This window comes from Homo sapiens, chromosome 14 (genome assembly GCF_000001405.40).
Source record: "Homo sapiens chromosome 14, GRCh38.p14 Primary Assembly".
NCBI lineage: Eukaryota > Metazoa > Chordata > Mammalia > Primates > Hominidae > Homo > Homo sapiens.
Window position 1 is genome coordinate 73,610,412 of NC_000014.9, and position 20,978 is coordinate 73,631,389.

Genomic DNA, 20,978 nt, shown 5'->3' on the forward strand with positions numbered 1-20,978 from the left:
TTCTGAATAGCTGGGATTACAGGCGCGTGCTGCCACGTTCAGCTAATTTTTGTATTTTTAGTAGAGACAGGGTTTCACCATGTTGGCCAGGCTGGTCTCAAACTCCTGACCCCAAGTCATCCGCCCCCCTCGGCCTCCCAAAGTGCTGGGATTACAGGCATTAGCCACCGTGCCCGACCAAGGTGCCATATTAATATGATCAGACAAACCTCTGCCTCCAGATCCTGGGGGTCTGGAGGGCATATGAAATGTACTAGGTTTACTAAAGGAGGTATCTGGGTTGGGGATGGACTGCAGGGCAGTTCTCTGGTTGGCCTTGGACTGACTCAGTTCTCCCCTCTTTCTCACTAGTAGTTCTCAAGCATAGAACGTGCTGGGAATGTAACATCCTGAGAGAGGGACGGACTGGCTGGAATAGCCCTGGCTCTATTCCAGCCCCTCCCTACAAACAGGATGTCTTTCAATGCTTTAACCCAGCAGTCACATGACCCCAGAGTACAAAACTCAGGGCAGCTGCAGTGCAAGTGGGGCACACACACATGAGATTCCATCACCCAGGCAGCATTCCTGAGCCTTGGGGGACTGGTTTCCAATGATTCTTAGGCTTCTGTCATTCTTTGCTGCCTATCTGTAAGTAATAAATCCAGTTCATGTAAATTGTTGTATTAAATATATGAATGTGTTTTCTCACTGGACTCAGACAAGTTGGTAACCAGCATACAGTGAACTTGCTTCATAGAGTCTAATACCTTTTTGTTCAGTTTATACATGTTTACTGAGCTGGGCATCACTATATGCTCTTCTTCCTTCTCCACCCTGCTATGTTCCCAGCTAGGTTGAGCTGTGTGGTTGGGTTTGGCCAAAGAGAGGCATTAGCAAGATACTGAAAAACAAGAGGAGAGTCAAGGGACTTATAGTCTCCTCCTTCCTGCCACAAACCATAGGTTCCTTCTAAAAAAGGTACAACTCCTATCAGACTGCCCCCTTCCCTTGAACCTTCAGATTCAGGGTTCTACACCGAATCTTGTTTCATTGTTTTTGTTTTTAAATCTTGCCCATGCCTTTGTAGATAGTACCTTTATAAAACTCTCCTCAATTACACAGGCTGAGAGTGCCACTTGCTTACTGCCAGAACTCTGTATGCATACAACCCAAAATGGACTCTGCCAGTGATTAGATTTGTGAGGTAAGAAACAAAACAAAACTTTCACTGGGTACTAACCTACAGGTGTGTCAGTGTAGTGTTTTTACACATTAGCCCATTTAATGGTCACAATAAGCCTTTTCAGATAAGAAAACTGAATTTAGAGGGTTATGTTTCTTGCTAAAGATCACCAGGTATTAATATTAAGGATCAGGGTCAGACCAGAACTCGGCTAGGTCTGCCTCCCTAAACATCTGCTTTGCTCCAGGTACCATTAGCCCTGGAAAAAAGGCTTGGTAAGGGACTGAGGGGTAAAGGACGGATTACGACCATGTTTCTCCAAGGGGTCACCTGAGTACAATCACCTGGGATGCTTTTTCAAAATCTAGATTCTTGGACTGTATCTCTCTCAATCCTTTAGCTCTCAGTGGTTTTTGTGCCTCTATTTCGACACTCACCACATTGGATTGCAGGAATAGTCATTAACTCTTTTTTTTTTTTTTTAGACGGAGTTTTGCCCTTGTTGCCTAGGCTGGAGTACAATGGTGCAATCTTGGCTCAATGCAACCTCTGCCTCCTGGGTTCAAGCAATTCTTCTGCCTCAGCCTCCCAAGTAGCCGGGATTACAGGCATGCGCCACCACACCTGGCTATTTTGTATTTTCAGTAGAGATGAGGTTTCACTCTGTTGGTCAGGCTGGTCTTGAACTCCTAACCTCAGGTGTGATCCACCCACCTCGGCCTCCCAAAGTTCTAGGATCACAGGCGTGATCCACCGCCCCCGGCCGGATTGGTCATTAACTCTTATTTCAGCAGATACTCTTTCATTTGGGACACTGGTGTATTTGCACAAATTCTAGGCGCCCCACGCAGCGGCCTGGAGCCTGTCCCCAAGTCCAACCAATGGGAGTAGTGTTAAGGGCTCCGCCCTCGACTACTTTCCAGCGCTCGGCAAAGCCGCCAGGCCCGCCCACTGACTCCGCGGAGCTGGGTCGCCCCTGTTCTACCCAGATTGGGATGGCAGCGACGCTGATCCTGGAGCCCGCGGGCCGCTGCTGCTGGGACGAGCCGCTGCGCATCGCAGTGCGCGGCCTGGCCCCGGAGCAGCCAGTCACGCTGCGCACGTCCCTGCGCGACGAAGAGGGCGCGCTCTTCCGGGCCCACGCGCGCTACCGTGCCGACGCCCGCGACGAGCTGGACCTGGAGCGCGCGCCCGCGCTGGGAGGCAGCTTCGCGGGGCTCCAGCCCATGGGGCTGCTGTGGGCGTTGGAGCCCGAGAAAGCCTTGGTGCGGCTGGTGAAGCGCGACGTGCGGACGCCCTTCGCCGTGGAGCTGGAAGTGCTGGACGGCCACGACACCGAGCCCGGGCGGCTGCTGTGCCTGGCGCAGAACAAGCGCGACTTTCTCCGGCCGGGGGTGCGGCGCGAGCCGGTGCGCGCGGGCCCGGTGCGCGCCGCGCTCTTCCTGCCGCCGGATGAGTAGTCTGCCCAGAATTTGGTCGAGCTCTGCGACCCCCACCGGCCCCTTTCCTGTCCTGGGAATCGCGTGATTGTGGAACATCCCTGAACTTGTTCCTTCGCTCCAGAGTCTGTCATGGATTCTGAGTCTGGGCGTCCGCTGTTGCCCAGGCTGGAGTGCCGTGGCTGGATCGTAGCTCACACTGCAGCCTCGAACTCCTGGGCTCAAGTCCTCTCGCCTCAGCCTCCTGAGTAGCTACTCCAGTCTTTCCTTTTTAAGTTTCACGTCCCTCCCTGGAGGCACCACCACTTTAGCTATGTGCTGAATAGTGCATTCAACTTATTATATATTTATTGAGAGCCACTATGTGCCAGCCATGTGGTTTTGTTTGAATACGATATGGGCAAAACCTTAAGCTGATGTGCAAGAAGGATTTTTGCCTCCTTTCACATCAAACTTCCAAAGAAGCTAAAATCCACAGTATTGGCAATGCCCTTTAATTGTTTAAAAACACACACAAAACTGCCTGACAGTCCTCTCCCTTCTATCATAAACATGCTGTACGTGGTTCTCAACCTGCAATGATTAGCCGCCCTCCCTGGGGGAAATTTGGCAATATCTGGAGACATTTGTGGTTGTCATATCTGAAGGGAGAGGTGCTATTGGCATCTAGCAGGCAGAGGCCAGAGATGCTGCTAAACATTCCACAATGCACAGGACAACCACCAGAACAAAGAATTATCTTGCTGAAAATGTCTGTACTACTGAGGTTGAGGAACCCTAGTCTAAGTAAACACAGGATGTTTGCTAGGTAAAGGTAGCCCAGAAAGAAGACTCCTGATTAATCCCTTCTAACTAAATTCCTGACTTAAACCTCTACCATATAAAAATGATGAGCCGGGCACAGTGGCTCAGGCCTGTAATCCCAGCACTTTGGGAGGCTGAGGTGGGCAGATCACTTGAGCCCAGGAGTTCAAGACCAGCCTGGGCAACATGGTGAAACTCTGTCTCTACAAAAAAAAAAAAAAAAAAAAAAAAATTAGGCAGGCATGGTGGTGCATGCCTGTAGTCCCAGCTGCTTGGGAGGCTGAGGTGGGAGGATTGTTTGATATCAGGAAGTAGAGGTTGCAGTGAGCTGAGATCACGCCACTGCATTCCAGCCTGGACAACAGAGTGAAACCCTGCCTCAAACAACAACAACAACAACAAATTCTAGAGTTGCAACAGCACATAGAATCCTTAAACCGAATTCTGTGATTATTCTCCAAAACAAGAAAACTTGCTTTATTTTTACAGCTCTTCAGCAATTCTTAGCCTTAACTCGTGGCTGCCCACTGTACTGTGAATTCCTGGGGCTGGAATTGGGTCTTACAGATTTCTAAATATCCATGTTCCTAGAGGCTTTCGCAAGGATATAGTAGGAGCTCAATAAATCATACTGACTGGGCCAGGCGCAGTGGCTCACACCTGTAATCCTAGCACTTTGGGAGGCTGAGGTGGGTGGATCACTTGAGGCCAGGAGTTCAAGACTAGCCTGGCCAACATGGCAAAACCCTACCTCTACTAATTATATAATACAAAAAAATTAGCCAGGCATAGTGGCTCACACATGTAGTCCCAGCTACTAGGGAGGCTGAGGTGGGAGAATCGCTTGAACCCGGGAGGCTGAGGTTGCAGTGAGCCAAGATTGCGCCACTACACTTCAGCCTGGGCGACAGAGCGAGACCCTGTCTCAAAAAAAAAAAAAAAAAAATCACACTGACTAAGAATCAACTAAAACCTTTCATTAAAAACAAACAAGGAGCCGGGCGCAGTGGCTCACGCCTGTAATCCCAGCACTTTGGGAGGCCGAGGCAGGTGGATCACCTGAGGTCAGGAGTTCGAGACCAGCCTGACCAACATGGTGAAACCCCGTCTCTACTAAAAATACAAAAGTTAGCCGGGCATGGTGGTGGGTGCCTGTAATCTCAGGAGGCTGAGGCAGGAGAATCTCTTGAACCCAGGGGGCAGAGGTTGCAGTGAGCCAAGATCGCACCGTTGCACTCCAGCCTGGAGGACAGAGCAAGACTCCATCTCAAAAAAAAAAACAAGGCGGCCAGGCGCGGTGGCTCACGCCTCTAATCCCGGCACTTTGGGAGGCCAAGGTGGGTGGATCACGAGGTCAGGAGTTCAAGACCAGCCTGGCCAAGATGGTGAAACCCTGTCTCTACTAAAAATACAAAAAATTAGCCGGGCATGGTGGCGGGCGCCTGTAATCCCAGCTACTCAGGAGGCTGAGGCAGGAGAATTGCTTGAACCCGGCAGGTGGAGGTTGCAGTGAGCCAAAATCACACCACATCACTCCAGCCTGGGCAACAGAGAGAGACTCTGTCTGATAAAAAAAAAAAAAAAAAAACAAAAAACAAAAAAAACCAGCAACAACGAAAAAAAAAACAAGACTGGGCGCAGTGGCTTACGCCTGTAATCCCAACACTTCGGGAGGCCAAGGTGGGCGGATCATCTGAGGTCAGGAGTTTGAGACCAGCCTCACCAACATGGTGAAACCCCATCTCTACTAAAAATACAAAATTAGCCAGGTGTGGTGGCACATGCCTGTAATACCAACTACTCGGGAGGCTGAGGCAGGAGAATCGCTTGAACCCGGGGGGAGACGGAGGTTGCAGTGAGCCGAGATCGCACCATTGCACTGCAGCCTGGGCAACAAGAGTGAAACCTTGTCTCAACAAACAAACAAACAAACAAACAAACAAACAAACAGGCTGAGTGCAGTGGCTCGCACTTAAAATCCCAGCACTTGAAGAGGCCGAGGTGGGAGCATTGCAGTGGGAGGATTGCTTGAGGCCAGGAGTTTGAGACTAGCCCAGGCAGCATAGTGAGACCCTATTTCTATAAAAAGTTAAAAATTAGCCAAGCATAGGGGCCTAGCTACTTGGGAGGGTGGCTTCTTGAGGCTGGAGGGTCACTTGAGCCCAAGGATTCAAGGTTACAGTGATCTACAGGCTACAGTGCAGTGGTGTGATCACAGGTCACCACAAACTGGAACTCTTGGGCTCAGATGATCCTCCCGCCTCTTCCTCCTGAGTAGCTAAGACTATAGGCAAGTGCCATCATGCCCAGCTAGTTTTTTAAACTTTTTTGTAGAGATGGGTCTTGTTATGTTGCCCAGGCTGGTCGTGAATTCCTGGCCTCAAGTGGTCCTCTTATCTTGACCTCCCAAAGCACTGGGATTATAGGCATGAACCACCACACCTGGCCTCATTATGTTATTTCTAACTTGGTTTATTTTTGTTTGTGAAAATAATATTATTATTATTATTATTTTTGAGATAGAGTCTCACTCTGTCACCCAGGCTGGAGTGCAGTGGTGTGACAATAATTTATATCATTAAAAAGTTTTAGGCCGGTTGCGGTGGCTCACACCTGTAATCGCAGCACTTTGGGAGGCCAAGGTGGGCAGATCACCTGAGGTCAGGAGTTCAAGACCAGCCTGGCCAACATGGCAAAACCCAGTCTCTACTAAAAATACAAAAAAAATTAGCCGGGTGTCTGTTGCATGTCTGTAATTCCAGATACTTGGGGGGCTGAGGCAGGAGAATTGCTTGAACCCAGGGGGCAGAGGTTGCAGTGAGCTGAGATTGCACCACTGCACTTCAGCCTGGGCGACAGAGTGAGACTGTCAAAAAAAAATTTTTTTTTTAATTTCAATACCTTTTGGTGTACAGGTGGTTTGGGGTTACACGGATGAACTGTACAGTGATGAACGCTGAGATTTTAGTGCACCTGTCGCCTGAGTAGTATACATTGTACCCAATATGTAGTTTTTTATCCCTCTATATTATCATTATTGTTTGAGAAAATAAGACATTTTGTTCTTTCTCTGCCAATCTCTCTACCCCCAATCTCCTTGGCTTCAAAAACTTGTTTGCTTACTGTCTTTTGAGAAACTAAAGCTCCCTGTGATTTGTGATGTTCTCCAGGCAGGGGGCCCTTTCCTGGGATCATTGATCTGTTTGGGAGCAGCAGGGGCCTTTGTGAATACAGGGCCAGCCTCCTGGCCGGACATGGTTTTGCTGTGCTTGCCCTGGCTTATTTCAGATTTGAAGACCTCCCCGAAGATCTGAATGATGTACATCTGGAGTACTTTGAAGAAGCCGTGGACTTTATGCTGCAGCATCCAAAGGTGCGTTCTGGTGATCACCTGAGTGCAGAAGAGAGGGGATAGAGCTGATGCAGGGCTGAATCCAAAAGCCCTGCCAGAACACTGAGAACTAGAAACATGCCAGGAGATACCAAGTCTCCTTCAAAGGTTACTAGGGTGGAAGCTGGGCATGGTGATGTGCACCTGTAGTCCCAGCTACCTGGGAGGCTGAGGCCGGGGGATTGCTTGACCCCAGGAGTTCAAGACCAGCCTGGGCAACATTTAGTGAGACCCCTGTCTCAAAAAAAGTTTTTGTACTAGGATTATTATTTCCATTTTCTCCCATCTCTCTCTAATCCCTGAAGACTTGACTATTTAGTTGTCTTTGTAATTGTGGACCAAAATTCAAAGAGCACAGGACTAAAAAAAGTTCCAGCTCTGCATCTACCACAGAGTGGCCTTATGATTCTGAATAAGGCAGTTACTCTCTCTGGAGTTCAATTTTCCTCCTTAATAAGATTAATGTAAATGTATATAGAGAAAATGACTATAAAGAGATATTTTTTGAGACAACTGGAGACATTTGAATGAGAATGGTGTATTTGATTATATGAAGTAATCATTAATTTTGTTGGGTATGATAATGGTATTATGGTTTTGTAAAGAAAGTCCTTATCTGATAACAGAAATAATTAATTAATTAAAACATTTTGGCCAGGTGCGGTGGCTCACGTCTGTAATCCCAGTACTTTGGGAGGCCAAGGCGGGCAGATCACCTGAGGTCAGGAGTTTGAGACCAGCCTGGCCAACATGGTGAAACCCCATCTACTAAAGATACAAAAATTAGCTGGGCATGGTGGTGCACACCTGTAATCCCAGCTACTCGGGAGGCTGAGGCAGGAGAATTGCTCGAACTCAGGAGGCAGAGGTTGCAGTGAGTCGAGATTACACCATTGCACTCTAGACTGGGCAACAAGAATGAAACCCCATCTCAAAAAAAAACCCAACAACAACAACGACAACAAATTTTGGTATAATTAAAAATGGAATTATATATACTCTTTGTTATCATCCAGGTTTAAAGAGATCCAGACATTCTAATGTTAAGATATAAGATGTTCTGCAGGGTTCTCTCCCCCACAACCCCTAGTGCTCTTGGGATCCGGCACCCCAGAATTCTCTGCCAAACAGCTCTGATCCTGCTTCCAGGCCCTAAGCCTCTTTTCTGGGTTCGTCGGTGTATATATACCTAGGCCTTAAACATGCAAGCTGGGGTGTCCACACATATGTGTGAGAGGCCCCTTAAGGTCCACGAAGGAGCCAGTGATGGAAGAGAAGGAGTGTGGTGCAGGGCCCACGGGCTGACCTCTCCCCTATGTCACTTTCCAGTACAGAACTCCAGTGGATTCCAAGATTTTAAATTTGAGCCTGAACTTATGAATTGTTATGGTGGTATATTTATCAAGGCAGGAGAAAATAATATACTGTATTTAACAGTTTGTTCATTTGATTTATAATTTTGAAATATTTAGGTATAGGGTGTCTGGGCCTCTGTGTATACTCCTGACCCAGTCCTCATAAATATTAGGGGATGACCCATTACTAGGAAATCAGTTGATTTGCTTATTAGAAGACATATTTGAACTTTGCAGATTGTTGGATACGGAAGGAAAGCAAATGATAGTTAAGAAAGCTACTGGCGGGGCACGGTGGCTCATGCCTATAATCCCAGCACTTTGGGAGGCCAAGGCAGGCGGATCACTTGAGGTCAGAAGTTTGAGACCAGCTGGCCAACATGGTGAAACCCTGTCTCTACTAAAAATACAAAAATTAGCCGGGCGTGGTGGTGGGCGCCTGTAATCCCAGCTACTCGGGAGGCTGAGGCACGAGAATTGCTTGAACCCGGGAGGTGGAGGTTACAGTGAGCCAAGATTGCACCACTGCACTCCAGCCTGGGTGACAGAGCGAGACTCCATCTCAAAAAAGAAAAAAAAGAGAAAGCTACTTGGAGAATGTAAAATCACTGTCTGTGTCCTCCATTTATGAATTCTAAGCTTGTTTTCCTTCTCTTTTTCCTCAACAGGTGAAAGGTCCTAGTATTGCGCTTCTTGGATTTTCCAAAGGAGGTGACCTGTGTCTCTCAATGGCTTCTTTCTTGAAGGGCATCACAGCCACTGTACTTATCAATGCCTGTGTAGCCAACACAGTAGCTCCTCTACATTACAAGGATATGATTATTCCTAAACTTGTCGATGATCTAGGAAAAGTAAAAATCACTAAGTCAGGATTTCTCACTTTTATGGACACTTGGAGCAATCCACTGGAGGAACACAATCACCAAAGTCTTGTTCCATTGGAAAAGGCGCAGGTGCCCTTCTTGTTTATTGTTGGCATGGATGATCAAAGCTGGAAGAGTGAATTCTATGCTCAGATAGCCTCTGAAAGGCTACAAGCTCATGGGAAAGAAAGACCCCAGATAATCTGTTACCCAGAAACTGGTCACTGTATTGACCCACCTTATTTTCCTCCTTCTAGAGCTTCTGTGCACGCTGTTTTGGGTGAGGCAATATTCTATGGAGGTGAGCCAAAGGCTCACTCAAAGGCACAGGTAGATGCCTGGCAGCAAATTCAAACTTTCTTCCATAAACATCTCAATGGTAAAAAATCTGTCAAGCACAGCAAAATATAACATTGTAGCCACAGACCAGATACCATTAATAAAAATCCTATTCATACAACTTGTGTTGGGTTTTCTTTCTTTCTTTTCTCTTTTTTTTTTTTTTTCCTGTATCACTCTGTCACATAGGCTGGAGTGCAGTGGCATAATCTTGGCTCACTGTAACCTCTGCCTCCCAGGTCCAAGCTGTTCTCCGACCTCAGACTCCCGAGTATCTGGGATTACAGGTGCACACCACGGCACCCAGCTAATTTTTGTATTTTTAGTAGAGACAAGGTTTCGCCATGTTGGCCAGGCTGGTCTTGAACTCCTGCCTCAGGTGATATGCCTACCTCACTCAGCCTCCCAAAGTGCTGGGAATACAGGTGTGAGCAACCACACCCAGCCTGTGTTGGGTTTCCCAGAGCCCGTAGCAACCTTTTTAGTGACAAAGCAACCAGCTCAGCTTTTTTGTCAGGTCCTCCCTGATTCTCAACCTTTGCAACCTGCCTTCCGTCACTGCTAGGTCCACGTAGGCTTAACCTTGATCTTATATGTAGGACCGGTCTTCACCTTAAGCAAGAGAAATGTAAGAAGTGCTTTCCCAACTCAGTTGCTGGCCCAGCTTTGGCCTCGTGTTCCCTTTCTGAGGACTGACCTTTGGTATTGCTCTGGAGTCTCATATCCCCTTTGGCCCTAACTGACCACGTCTGAGTCTTGGGAAACTGCCCACTCGATTGCCTTAAGGAATGGACTCTGCCTCATTCTTTTTTTTTTTGAGACGGAGTCTCGCTTTTGTTGCCCAGGCTGAAGTGCAATGGTACGAGCTCAGCTCACTGCAACCTCCGCCTCCCAGGTTCAAGCGATTCTCCTGCCCCAGCCTTCCGAGTATCTGGGACTACAGGCTCGTGCCACCATGCCCAGCTAATTTGTGTATTTTTAGTAGAGACAGGGTTTCACCATGTTGGCCAGGCTAGTCTCAAACTCCTGATGTCAGGTGATCCACCCACCTCAGCCTCCCAAAGTGCTGGGATTACAGGCCTGAGCCACCACGCCTGGCTCTACCTCATTCTTGCCCATACACATTGCTGAACATTTACTCAAGACTTCTCCCTGGGCCGGGCACGGTGGCTCACGCCTGTAGTCCCAGCACTTGGGAGGCTAAGGCGTGTGGATCACCTGAGGTCAGGAGTTTGAGACCAGCCTGGCCAACATGATGAAATGATGAAACCTAGTGTCTACTAAAAATACAAAAAATTAGCCAGGCAAGGTGGCGGGCACCTGTAATCCCAGCTACTTGGGAGGCTGAGGCAGGAGAATTGCTTGAACTCAGGAGGTGGAGGTTGCAGTGAGCCGAGATCGCGCCACTGCCCTCCAGCCTGGGCAACAAGAGCAAAACTCTGTCTCAAAAAACACTTGTCTCTGAACGCCAGTCTGAAGACCAGGAGCATTATACCTGTGGATATACTTCTTTTACGTTTGCCAGGGGATTCCCAGTCACTATATGGTCATTGCCTGCCTGGAGGAATGCCTTGATGCCAAGATTTTCAGGACAATACCTTGCACGCCATGGCCTTCATCTTTGATGTCATGTTATACCTACCAAATCGGACTTCCTCCCACAACCATCTAGTCCAATTACCCTCCTACTGAGAAGGACTGGGACCTGTCTGCCTCAACCTACTGCAGTATACTGGGCACTATCTAGAGTCATAACAGACCAGAGCAGAGAGTCTTCCTTGAGCATAAGAAAGTTTTTCTGTGATTTCACGGCACATCCCATGATTTTCTGAGTACGTACAAAATCCTTCACCAATTTCAATCTATCCAAGCAAGTGCCCATTAGATCTTAACAATGAAAAGTTCCTTAGAGGTAACTTAATTTTGATCAGTTGTTAAACTCTGTGTTGAGTATAGTCATTCACCTTGTAGTATAATTTTCCTTTCTTTCTTTCTTTTTTTTTTTTTTTTTTTTTTGAGACAGTCTCACTCTGTCATCCTGGCTGGAGTATAGTGGCATGATCATGGCTTACTGCAGCCTCAACCTCCTGGGCTCAAGTGATCTTCTCACCTCAACTTCCCAAGTGACTGGGACTACAGGCATGCACCACCAAACCTGGCTAACTTTTTATTTTTTGTAGAGATGAGGTCTCATTACGTTGCCCGGGCTGGTCTCCAACTCCTGGGCTCAAGCGAACTGCCCCCCTAGGCCTCCCAAAGTGCTGGGATTACAGGCGTGAATCACTGCGCCTGGCCTGTGTAGTATAATTTTCTATGATGTGAATTCTGGGAGCCTATGCTTTAACTCACTCCCAAGTGGACCTGCTACTGTGGAGATGCTCTTGGGGTGGGAGATCACAGGAGGAAGATATGAGGAAAGTGGCAGGGAGGATGAGAAAGCAAAGGCCAAAAAGGTAGTCCCAGAAGTCATGCAGGAGAATGATGACTCCACATCTATATGTATTGAAGAACTAGGGCAAGACAGCCCTAGACCTCGATTTCTTCCTTACAGATAAAGCAACCTAGAAATGGCATACACTGACTGAAGATATTTGCTTGCTTTTCCCTGAGAGGTGACTGTATGTGGCCACCTGTCTCCAATATATATATTTTGACACAGAGTTTCGCTCTTGTTGCCCAGCCTGGAGTTCAGTGGTGCGATCTCGGCTCACCGCAACCTCTGCCTCCTGGGTTCAAGTGATTCTCCTGCCTCAGCTTCCCTAGTAGCTGAGATTATAGGCGCACCACCACACCCGGCTAATTTTGTACTTTTAGTAGAGAAAGGGTTTCTCCATGTTGGTCAGGCTGGTCTCGAACTCCTGACCTCAGGTGATCGCCTGCCTTGGTCTCCCAAAGTGCTGGGATTACAGCCATGAGCCACCGCGCCTGGCTTGAGATTTTTATTTCAAAAAGAATCTCAGGTTGTTATCAAGCCATTTGAAATGCAGTAAAGCAATATGAAGCAGAAGGGAGAAAGAGAAAAGTTATCCATAAAGTTAAGCCAGAAATGAGGCTAATATAATAGTGCTTATTATGGAATCCTATGCCCTTGCCTGGATTGACCACTCATTCAGTCATGTATTTTATAGTGGTTTTTTTGTTTAGTTTTTGTTTTTTTTTGAGACAGAGTTTTGCTCTTGCTGCCTGGGCTGGAGTGCAATGGTGCAACTTCGGCTCACTGCAACATCCGCCTCCCGGGTTCAAGCGATTCTCCTGCCTCAGCCTCCCTGTAGCTGGGAATACAGGCATGCACCACCATGCCCGGCTAATTTTGTATTTTTTTTAGTAGAGATGGGGCTTCACCATGTTGGTCAGGCTGATCTTGAACTCCTGAGTTCAGGTGATCCGCCCACCTCAGCCTCCCAAAGTGCTGGGATTACAGGCATGAGCCACCACGCCTGGCCTTATAGTGGTTTACGCAAAGAAGGAGACCTAATTAGTTACACAAAATTTACAACTTTCATAAAATAAAAGCCAAACTTAGAAATCAGTTTCTTCCAAAGATAGTCATACTAAGAAACATTACGTGATATAAAGGGTAGTGTTATAGTTTAGATGTTGTCCTCTCCAAATCCCATGTTGAAACTTGATCCCCAGGTGGGCATGGTGGCTCATGCCTGTAAGCCCAACACTTTGAGAGGCCCAGGTAGGAGGATTGCTCAAGGCCAGGAGTTTGAGACCAGCTTGAGCAAAGTAGCAAGACCCTGTTTCTACTAAAAATGTTTTTAAAATTAACCAGGTATGGTAATGAGCACCTGTAGTCCCAGCTACTTGGGAGGCTGAAGCAGGAGGATTGGTTGAGCCCAGGAATTCTCGCTATGATGATGGCACTGCATTCCAGCCTAGGTGACAGAGCAAGATCCTGTCTCTAAAAAATAAAGAGAAATTTGCATCCCAATGTTGGAGGTGGGGCCTAATGGGTGGTGTTTGGGTCATGAGGGCCAACCCCTCAGGAATGTCTTGGTGCAGTCCTCTCTGTGAGTTCCCACAAGAGTTCCCCTGAGAGCTGGTTGTGAAAAAGAGCCTGGCACTTCCTTCCCCTCTTTCCTGCTTCTCTCTCGCCATGTGATCTGCACACGCTAGGCCTCTGTCCCTTCTGCAGTGAGTGGAAGCAGTCTCAGGCCCTCACCACAAGCAGATGCTGGCACTGTGCTTCTTGTACAGCCTGCAGAACCGTGAGCCAAATAAACCTCTTTTTGGCCAGGGCCAGTGGCTCATGCCTGTAATCCCAACATTTTGGGAGCCTGAGGTGGGAGGATTGCTTGGGACCTGGAGTTTAAGACCAGCCTAGACAACATAGTGAAACCCTGTTTCTACAAATATATATATTTTTTGATACGGCATCTTGCTCTGTTGCCCAGGCTGGAGTGCAGTGGTGCAATCTCGGCTCACTGCAACCTCCACCTCCCAGATTCAAGTGATTCTCCTACCTCAGCATCCCGAGTAGCTGAGATTACAGGCACACACCACCACACCCAGCTAATCTTTTTGTATTTTTTTTAAGTAGGGATGGGGTTTCGCCATGTTGCCCAGGCTGGTCTCAAACTCCTAACCTCAGGTGATCCACCTGCCTCGGGCTTCCAAATTGCTGGGATTACAGGCATGAGCCAACGCGCCCCGCCCAAAAAAATTTTTTTAAATAAAAATTAGCCGGGTGCAGTGGTACCCACTTGTAGTCCCATCTACTCAGGATGCTGAGGTGGGAGGATAACTTTAGTGTAGGAGGACAAGGCTACAGTGAACCATGATCACACCACTGCACTCCATCCAGCCTGGGTGACAGAGAAAGACTGCTCCCCTCTACCCCAACAAAAAAAACCCTCTTTTTAGTAACTCTTCTTTATAGCAACACAAATGCACTAAGACAGGTAATATTTTCAAGGATGCTTCTACAGCAGACGTAAATCCCAGCCTAATCCAGGCTCACACAGTTTAGTAAGTAGTGCAGCCTGGGGTTTCTGTCTATATGCCTCATCTATGAAATGGGCGTAATAATAGTAACTACTTCATGGGGCTATTGTGATTAAATTAGATAATCTGTGTAAAGTACTTAACATATTTTAATTTTCAAATACAGGTATACTTTGTTTTATTGGGCTTTGCTTTATTAAATTTTCCACAAGTTAAAGGTCTGTGACAACCCTGTGTCAAGAGAGTCTATCAGCACCATTTTCAACAGCATGTGCTCACTTTGTGTCTCTGTGTCACATCTGGTAATTCTTACAATATTACGGTCTTTTCATTATTTTATTTATTTATTTATTTATTTATGAGATGGAGTCTTGCTCTGTTGCCAGGCTGGAGTGCAGTGGTGTGATCTCGGCTCACTGCAACCTCCGCCTCCTGGATTCAAGCGATTCTCCTGCCTCAGCCTCCTGAATGGCTGGGACTTACAGGTGTGCACCACCGCACCCAGCTAATTTTTGTATTTTTAGTAGAGACGGAGTTTCACCATGTTGGCCAGGGTGGTCTCGATCTCTTGACCTCATGATCCACCCGCCTTGGCCTCTCAAAGTGCTGGGATTACAGGTGTGAGCCACCGCGCCCAGCCTATTTTATTTATTTTATTTTTTAGACAGAGTTTCACTCTTGTTGCCCAGGCTGGAGTGCAGTGGCACGATCTCGACTCACAGCAACCTCCGCCTCCCAGGTTCAAGCAATTCTACTGCCTCAGCCTCCCAAGTAGCTGGGATTACAGGTGCATGCCACCATGCTCAGCTAATTTTTGTATTTTTAGTAGAGACGAGGTTTCACCATTTGACCAGGCTGGTCTCGAACTCCTGACCTTAGGTGATCCACCAGCCTCGGCCTCCCAAAGTGCTGGGATTACAGGCGTGAGCCACCACATCTAGCCTTTTTCATTATTATTATATCTGTTACGGTGATCTTTGATGTTACTACTGTAATTGTTTTGGGGCTCCCAGAACTGCACCCACATAAGATGGTGAACTTAATAAATGTTGTGTGTGTTCTGACTGCTCCACCAACTGGCCTTTCCCATCTGTTTCCCTCTCCTCAGGCCTCCCTATTCCCTGAGACAAAACAATATTGGAATTATGCCAGTTAATAACCCTACAATGGCCTCTAAGTGTTCAAGTGAAAGGAAGAGTCTCGGGTCTCTCACTTTAAATCAAAAGCTAGAAATGATGAAGCATAGAGAAAGCCAAGATAGGCTGAAAGCCAGGCCTCTTCCCCTAAGCAGTTAGCCAAGTTGTGAGTGCAAAGGAAAAGTTCTTGAAGGCAATTAAAAGTCCTACTTAAGTGAACACAGTAAAACATCCTTATGGCTGATTTGGAGAAAGTTTTAGTGGTCTGGATAGAAGATCAAACTAGCCACAACATTCCCTTAAGCTAAACAGCAGGGGTGTCCAATCTTTTGGTTTTCCTAGGCCACATTGGAAGAAGAAGAATTGTCTTGGGTCACACATAATATACAACAACGCTAATAATAGCTGATGAGCTTTAAGAAAATCGCAAAAAAAATCTCATAATGTTTTAAAAAAGTTTACAATTTTGTGTTGGGCCACATTCAAAGCCATCCTGGGCTGCATGGAGTTCACAAGCTGTAGGGTGGACAAGCTTAAGCTAAAGCCCAATCCAGAGCAAGGCCCTAATTCTCTTCAATTCTATGAAGGCTGGGAGAAGTTAGGAAGCTGCAGTAGAAAAGTTTAAAGCTAGCATATGTTGGCTTATTAAATTTAAGGAAAGAAGCCATCTCCATAATGTTAAAGTGCAAGTTTGCCAGGTGTGATGGTTCATGCCTGTAGTCACAGCTACTCTGGAGGCTGAGGAAGAAGGATCACTTGAGCCCAGAGGTTCAAAACCAGCCTGGGCAACATAGTGAGACCCTGTCTTAAAAAAAAAAAGTTCAAGGTGAAGCAGCAAACTCTGATGTAGAAGCTGCAGCAAGTTATCCAGAAGACCTAGCTGAGATAACTGATGAAGGTGGCTACACTAAACCACTAAACAACAGACAAACAGCCTTTTTTTTTTTTTTTTTTTTTTTTTTGAGACAGAGTTTTGCTATTGTTGCCCAGGCTAGAGTGCAATGGTACGATCTCAGCTCACGGCAACCTCTGCCTCCAAGTGATTCTCCTGCCTTAGCCCCCTAGGTAGCTGGGATTACAGGTATGCGCCACCACACCCCACTAATTTTTGTATTTTTAGTAGAGACAGGGTTTAGCCAAGTTGGTCAGGCTGGTCTCAAACTCCTGACCTCAGGTGATCCACCCGCCTCGGCCTCCTGAAGTGCTGGGATTACAGGTGTGAGCCACCATGCCCAGCCAAAACAGCCTTTTATTGGGAGAACTGCACCAGGCATAGACTTCTCCTCACTAGCTGTGAAAGTCCCAGTCATCTAGGACTTTCATAGTTAGTAAGGAGAAGTCTATCCCTGGTGCAATTCTCTCACTCAACGCAACAATCAACACAGAATACTTCTGTGACCAAATGTGGGAGGTTTCTCCCCACACACCAGGCAGGCAAACAGTTCTGCAGCAGACACCAGCTGGGTGTCCTCCAATTCAACTCTGACACAGTCTACCTGGAAATAACATCAGATCCCACAGGTTGAGGAGTAGGTCCCACAAGACCAGTCTCTTCCCACCAGTCTTAAGTCTAGGTTTTCAGAACTTCTGACTAACTGGCTTCACGTTGGGGTTCCAATGACCTCCTTGTTGGGTTTGATTTGCTGGAGTGACTCACAGAACTTGGGAAACACTTACTTCCACTTACTGGTTTACTATAAAGGATATTACAAGTGACACCGATAAGGAGATGTATAGGGAGAAAAGACACAGAGCTTCCATGTCCTCCCGGGCATGTCACTCTCCAGGAACCTCCATGTGTTCAGCTATCCAGAAGATCTCTGAACCCATTTCTGGGTTTTTATGGAAGCCTCATCATCTAGGCACGATTGATTAAATCATTGCCCATTGGTGATCAGCTTAACCCTAACGCTTTCCCTCCTCCCCAGGTTTGGTAGGTTTACAGTGGGGCTGAAAGTCCCAACAATTTTTTTTTTTTTTGAGACGGAATCTTACTCTCTGTTGCCTAGGCTGGAGGGCAGTGTTGTTCACTGCAACTTCCGTCTCCTGGATTCAAGTGATTCTCCTGCCTCAGCCTCCTGAGTAGCTGGGATTACAGGTGGGTGCCACCAAGCCTGGCTAATTTTTATATTTTTAGTAGAGACGGAGTCTTGCTATGTTAGCCAGGCTAGTCTCGAACTCCTGACCTCAAGTGATCTGCCCGCCTTGGCCTCCCAAAGTGCTGGGATTACAGGCGTGAGCCACTGTGTCTGGCTTTCAATTCTTTAATCCTGCCTTGGTGTTTCTGGTGACCAGCCCCCATACTGAAGCTACCTAGGGGCTGCCAGCCATTAATCAACTCATTAGCACACAAAAGACAACACGTTGGAGATTCTAAATCTTTTAGGAGTTGTATGTCACAAAACAAGATTACGACCAAATATATATTTCACAATATCACATAGTCATTTTTTTTAATTTAAAGAAAATTGATAGAGATGGGATCTTGCTAGGTTGGCCAGGTTGGTCTTGAACTCAGCCTCAAGCAATCCTCCCATCTCAGCCTCCCAAAATACTAGGATTACAGGCATGAGCCACTGTGCCCAGCCCATAGTCTTAGTTTTAAAAATTGCCACAGCCTCTGGGTGTGGTGGCTCACACCTGTAATCCCAGCACTTTGGGAGGCCGAGGCGGGCGGATCATCTGAGGTCAAGAGTTTGAGACCAGCCTGACCAACATGGAGAAACTCTGTCTCTACTAAAAATACAAAATTAGCCAGGAGTGGTGGCGCATGCCTGTAATCCCACCTACTTGGGAGGCTGAGGTAGGAGAATCACTTGAACCCGGGAGGTGGAGGTTTCAGTGAGCTGAGATCGGGCCATTGCACTGCAGCCTGGGCAACAAGAGTGAAACTCCATCTCAAAAAAAAAAAAAAATTTGCCACAGCAGTGGCTCATGCCGGTAATCCTAGCATTTTGGGAAGCCGAGGCTGGTGGATGACCGGAGGTCAGGAGTTTGAGACCAGCCTGGTCAACATGGTGAAACCCCCGTCTCTACTAAAAATACAAAAAAGTTACCCGGGCATAGTGGTGGGCGCCTGTAATCCCACCTACTTGGGAGGCTGAGGCAGGAGAATTCCCTGTACCTGGGAGGTGGAGGTTGCAGTGAGCCGAGATAACGCCACTGCACTTCAGCCTGAGCAACAAGAGCGAGAGTATGTTCCCAAAAAAAAAAAAAGAAAGAAAAAAAAATTGCCACAGCCACACCAACCTTCTGCAACCACCACCCTAGTGAGTCTGTGGCCTTCAAATGGAGGCAAAAATATCAGCAAAAAGATTACGACCCACTGAAGTCTCAGATAATCATTAGCATTATTTAGCAGAGGTGTGTTTTTTCATTAAGGTATGTACTTTTTTTAAACATAATGCTATGGCAACTTAATAGACTACAGTATATTATACACCTTTTATATGCACTGGGAAACCAAACATTCATGTGACTCACTTTATTGTGATATGTGCTTTATTGCAGTGGTCTGGAAGCAAATCTGCAATATCTCCCAGGTATCCCTGTATTAACAATTATTATTTCAGATAAGGAAATGGAGATCCAAGAGAAGAAACATGCCTGGTTAGTGGGAGAGCTAAGTCAGTCCAAGGCCAAAGCCCATGCCTTCACTGACCACTTGGCTCTAGTGCCTTCCAGCTTGAGGAGAGACTGGAAGAGTGCAGAGCTGCATGAAGGGGACTATAAGAAAGTTAATGGTATGTTAGGGTCACATGATGTAGCTTCACAACCCAAGGTGGAAAGTTTAGATTTTTTTTTTTTTTGAGATGGAGTCTCACTCTGTTGCCCAGGCTGGAGTGCAGTGGTGCAATCTCAGCTCACTGCAAGCTCTGCCTCCCGGGTTCACGCCATTCTCCTGCCTCAGCCTCCCAAGTAGCTGGGACTACAGGCACCCGCCACCAAGCCCGGCTAATTTTTTTGTATTTTTTTAGTAGAGACGGGGTTTCACCGTGTTAGCCAGGATGGTTTGGATCTCCTGACTTTGAGATCCGCCCTCCTCGGCCTCCCAAAGTGCTGGGATTACAGACGTGAACCACCACACCCGGCCCCAGATTACTTATTTCTTATCATTTTAAATTGGCTCCACCGCATTCCAGCTTGGGCGACAGAGCAAGACACCATCTCAAAAAAAATAAAAAATAAAAAACAAAAAAATTTAAAAAAAAAAGAAATATGATTGGACAAAAAGGGTACGTGGTGTCCTAATTAGACAAAGGGAGTCAGGCTGGTGGGAGCAGGGGAAAGCAAAAAGAAGACGCAGATAAGCTACCAGTCTGCCTTTCTTCATGGTCCAGGACACAGCCCTCCTGCACAAATAACTGATAATCTTCCTCCGCCCAACTATCACCAGACCCCTCCAAGTTAGCTCACTGCAACCTTGGTGTTATCGCTACTGCACAAATCCCTCTTCAACAGACAGCATAAACATTATTCTATAAAGTCCCCAGCAAGCCTTTGTTTCTTTGCAGTCAACTTCTCTTCTGCTGGCCTGCCTGTTGCAACGTTCTCGCAACGTATTTTCCTACTTTCTCTAATAAATCTGCCTTTCTTTACCTACAACTGTCTTGGTAAATTCTTTTACCCCATGCCACCATAGTGGTTCGCTCCCCCAATAAAATGCTACTAAGCTGAGTGGGGAAACCCAGCAAGGCCTGTCTGTCTAGATTCTTCTTGGCTTCTCTGAGCTTCATTCCTTCCTTCTGGGTGTGGGGCATGCCGGTCCCTCTTTAGAATGGGAATCACGACTTACAGTCAAATAAGGTAGATCAGATCATTTGTTTACAGCCAATTTTTACACAGAAAGGCAGAGGGAAAATTACAGTAATATTTTGAGGTTTTATCACTGGCTTTAGGGAAAAGGAGTTCTGGTTTCTATGATCTGCCTGGAAGAAAAGGGATTCTAGTTTTTATGGCTAGCCTCAGGGAAGAATGGGACTCAGAGCAGGGTGGCAGGAGAAGGGCAAAGAAAAACTTTCCCTTCTGAGGCCTTCATTTTGGGGTATTGTTCTCTGAGCCCCAACAATATTTATGGCGAAAGGACCAAAGACAGGACTTTAACAAGTCCTTGCTTTTCAGAGAAAAGTACCTTGCAGGTACTTACTTTTCAAAGAAAACAGGGTTGTTGGATGGCTCTAAACCAGAAACTCTTGGTCCAATGGCCATGTGTTTTCAGTGGCAAATACATTCTATCCAGAAATATGACACATGACAATTATTTATAGATAAATGGGATAAGATTTGAAAATGGGATTGTTTCTCCCCAAATTTAGGATTTATATACATACCCCTCTTCCTTGACAAGCAGTTTAATAAAATATGTTCACCTGGGTTAATTCACCTCATTTTACACATGCGTTTTAATTAAGATAGAATAGTAGAAAACAATTTTTTTTTTAATTTTTAGAGACCAGGTCTTGCTCTGTCACCCAGGCTGGGGTGCAGTGGTGCAATCCATAGCTCACTGCAACCTCTAACTCCTGGGCTCAAGTGG

General features: G+C 46.7%; 2 protein-coding genes across 4 annotated transcripts in view, besides 5 other annotated features; one reads left to right on the forward strand and one right to left on the reverse strand.

Moving 5' to 3' along the window:
* The window catches only part of HEATR4 (HEAT repeat containing 4), a 155,331-nt gene that overhangs the window by 131,928 nt on the left and 2,425 nt on the right, over window positions 1–20,978 (reverse strand). The gene's annotated exons all lie outside the window — the stretch shown is intronic.
* Window positions 534–9,477, forward strand: ACOT6 (acyl-CoA thioesterase 6). 3 transcript variants are annotated; one of them, NM_001365789.1, is made up of 4 exons: window positions 534–630; window positions 1,105–1,186; window positions 6,579–6,781; window positions 8,823–9,477. In NM_001365789.1, exons 3-4 carry the CDS (start codon window positions 6,764–6,766, stop codon window positions 9,426–9,428), a joined length of 624 nt encoding a protein of 207 aa, NP_001352718.1. In that variant the 5' UTR covers window positions 534–630; window positions 1,105–1,186; window positions 6,579–6,763; the 3' UTR covers window positions 9,429–9,477. The 3 variants fall into 3 exon arrangements, with proteins under 3 accessions (NP_001352718.1, NP_001352717.1, NP_001032239.1); NM_001365788.1 differs by lacking the exons at window positions 534–630; window positions 1,105–1,186 and adding an exon at window positions 2,106–2,621 and having other exon boundaries at window positions 6,583–6,781; NM_001037162.1 differs by lacking the exons at window positions 534–630; window positions 1,105–1,186 and having other exon boundaries at window positions 6,433–6,781.
* Window positions 2,217–2,266: an enhancer, noted in NCBI's record as "active region_8704". NCBI's record gives its function as "activates an Ori minimal core promoter by ATAC-STARR-seq in GM12878 lymphoblastoid cells {active_cell/tissue: GM12878}" and the evidence as "EXISTENCE:reporter gene assay evidence [ECO:0000049][PMID:35858748]".
* Window positions 2,284–2,783: an enhancer, noted in NCBI's record as "H3K27ac hESC enhancer chr14:74079399-74079898 (GRCh37/hg19 assembly coordinates)". NCBI's record gives its function as "activates a minimal SCP1, AML or CMV promoter by ChIP-STARR-seq in primed H9 embryonic stem cells {active_cell/tissue: H9 hESC(primed)}" and the evidence as "EXISTENCE:reporter gene assay evidence [ECO:0000049][PMID:30033119]".
* Window positions 2,317–2,366: an enhancer, noted in NCBI's record as "active region_8705". NCBI's record gives its function as "activates an Ori minimal core promoter by ATAC-STARR-seq in GM12878 lymphoblastoid cells {active_cell/tissue: GM12878}" and the evidence as "EXISTENCE:reporter gene assay evidence [ECO:0000049][PMID:35858748]".
* Window positions 3,442–3,686: a silencer, noted in NCBI's record as "fragment chr14:74080557-74080801 (GRCh37/hg19 assembly coordinates)". NCBI's record gives its function as "represses an EF-1alpha promoter that drives an FKBP-Casp9 reporter gene in an ReSE screen in K562 erythroleukemia cells {active_cell/tissue: K562}" and the evidence as "EXISTENCE:reporter gene assay evidence [ECO:0000049][PMID:32094911]".
* Window positions 6,306–6,894: an enhancer, noted in NCBI's record as "OCT4-NANOG hESC enhancer chr14:74083421-74084009 (GRCh37/hg19 assembly coordinates)". NCBI's record gives its function as "activates a minimal SCP1, AML or CMV promoter by ChIP-STARR-seq in naive H9 embryonic stem cells {active_cell/tissue: H9 hESC(naive)}" and the evidence as "EXISTENCE:reporter gene assay evidence [ECO:0000049][PMID:30033119]".

Excerpts from the sequence above, each read along its gene's own strand:
- ACOT6 (NM_001365788.1), top strand. The coding sequence starts at position 2,161 with ATGGCAGCGACGCTGATCCTGGAGCCCGCGGGCCGCTGCTGCTGGGAC. Across the intron at positions 2,622-6,582 it reads CTCTTCCTGCCGCCGGATGA|GGGGCCCTTTCCTGGGATCA; the intron begins GTAGTCTGCCCA and ends TTCTCCAGGCAG. Across the intron at positions 6,782-8,822 it reads TTATGCTGCAGCATCCAAAG|GTGAAAGGTCCTAGTATTGC; the intron begins GTGCGTTCTGGT and ends TTTCCTCAACAG.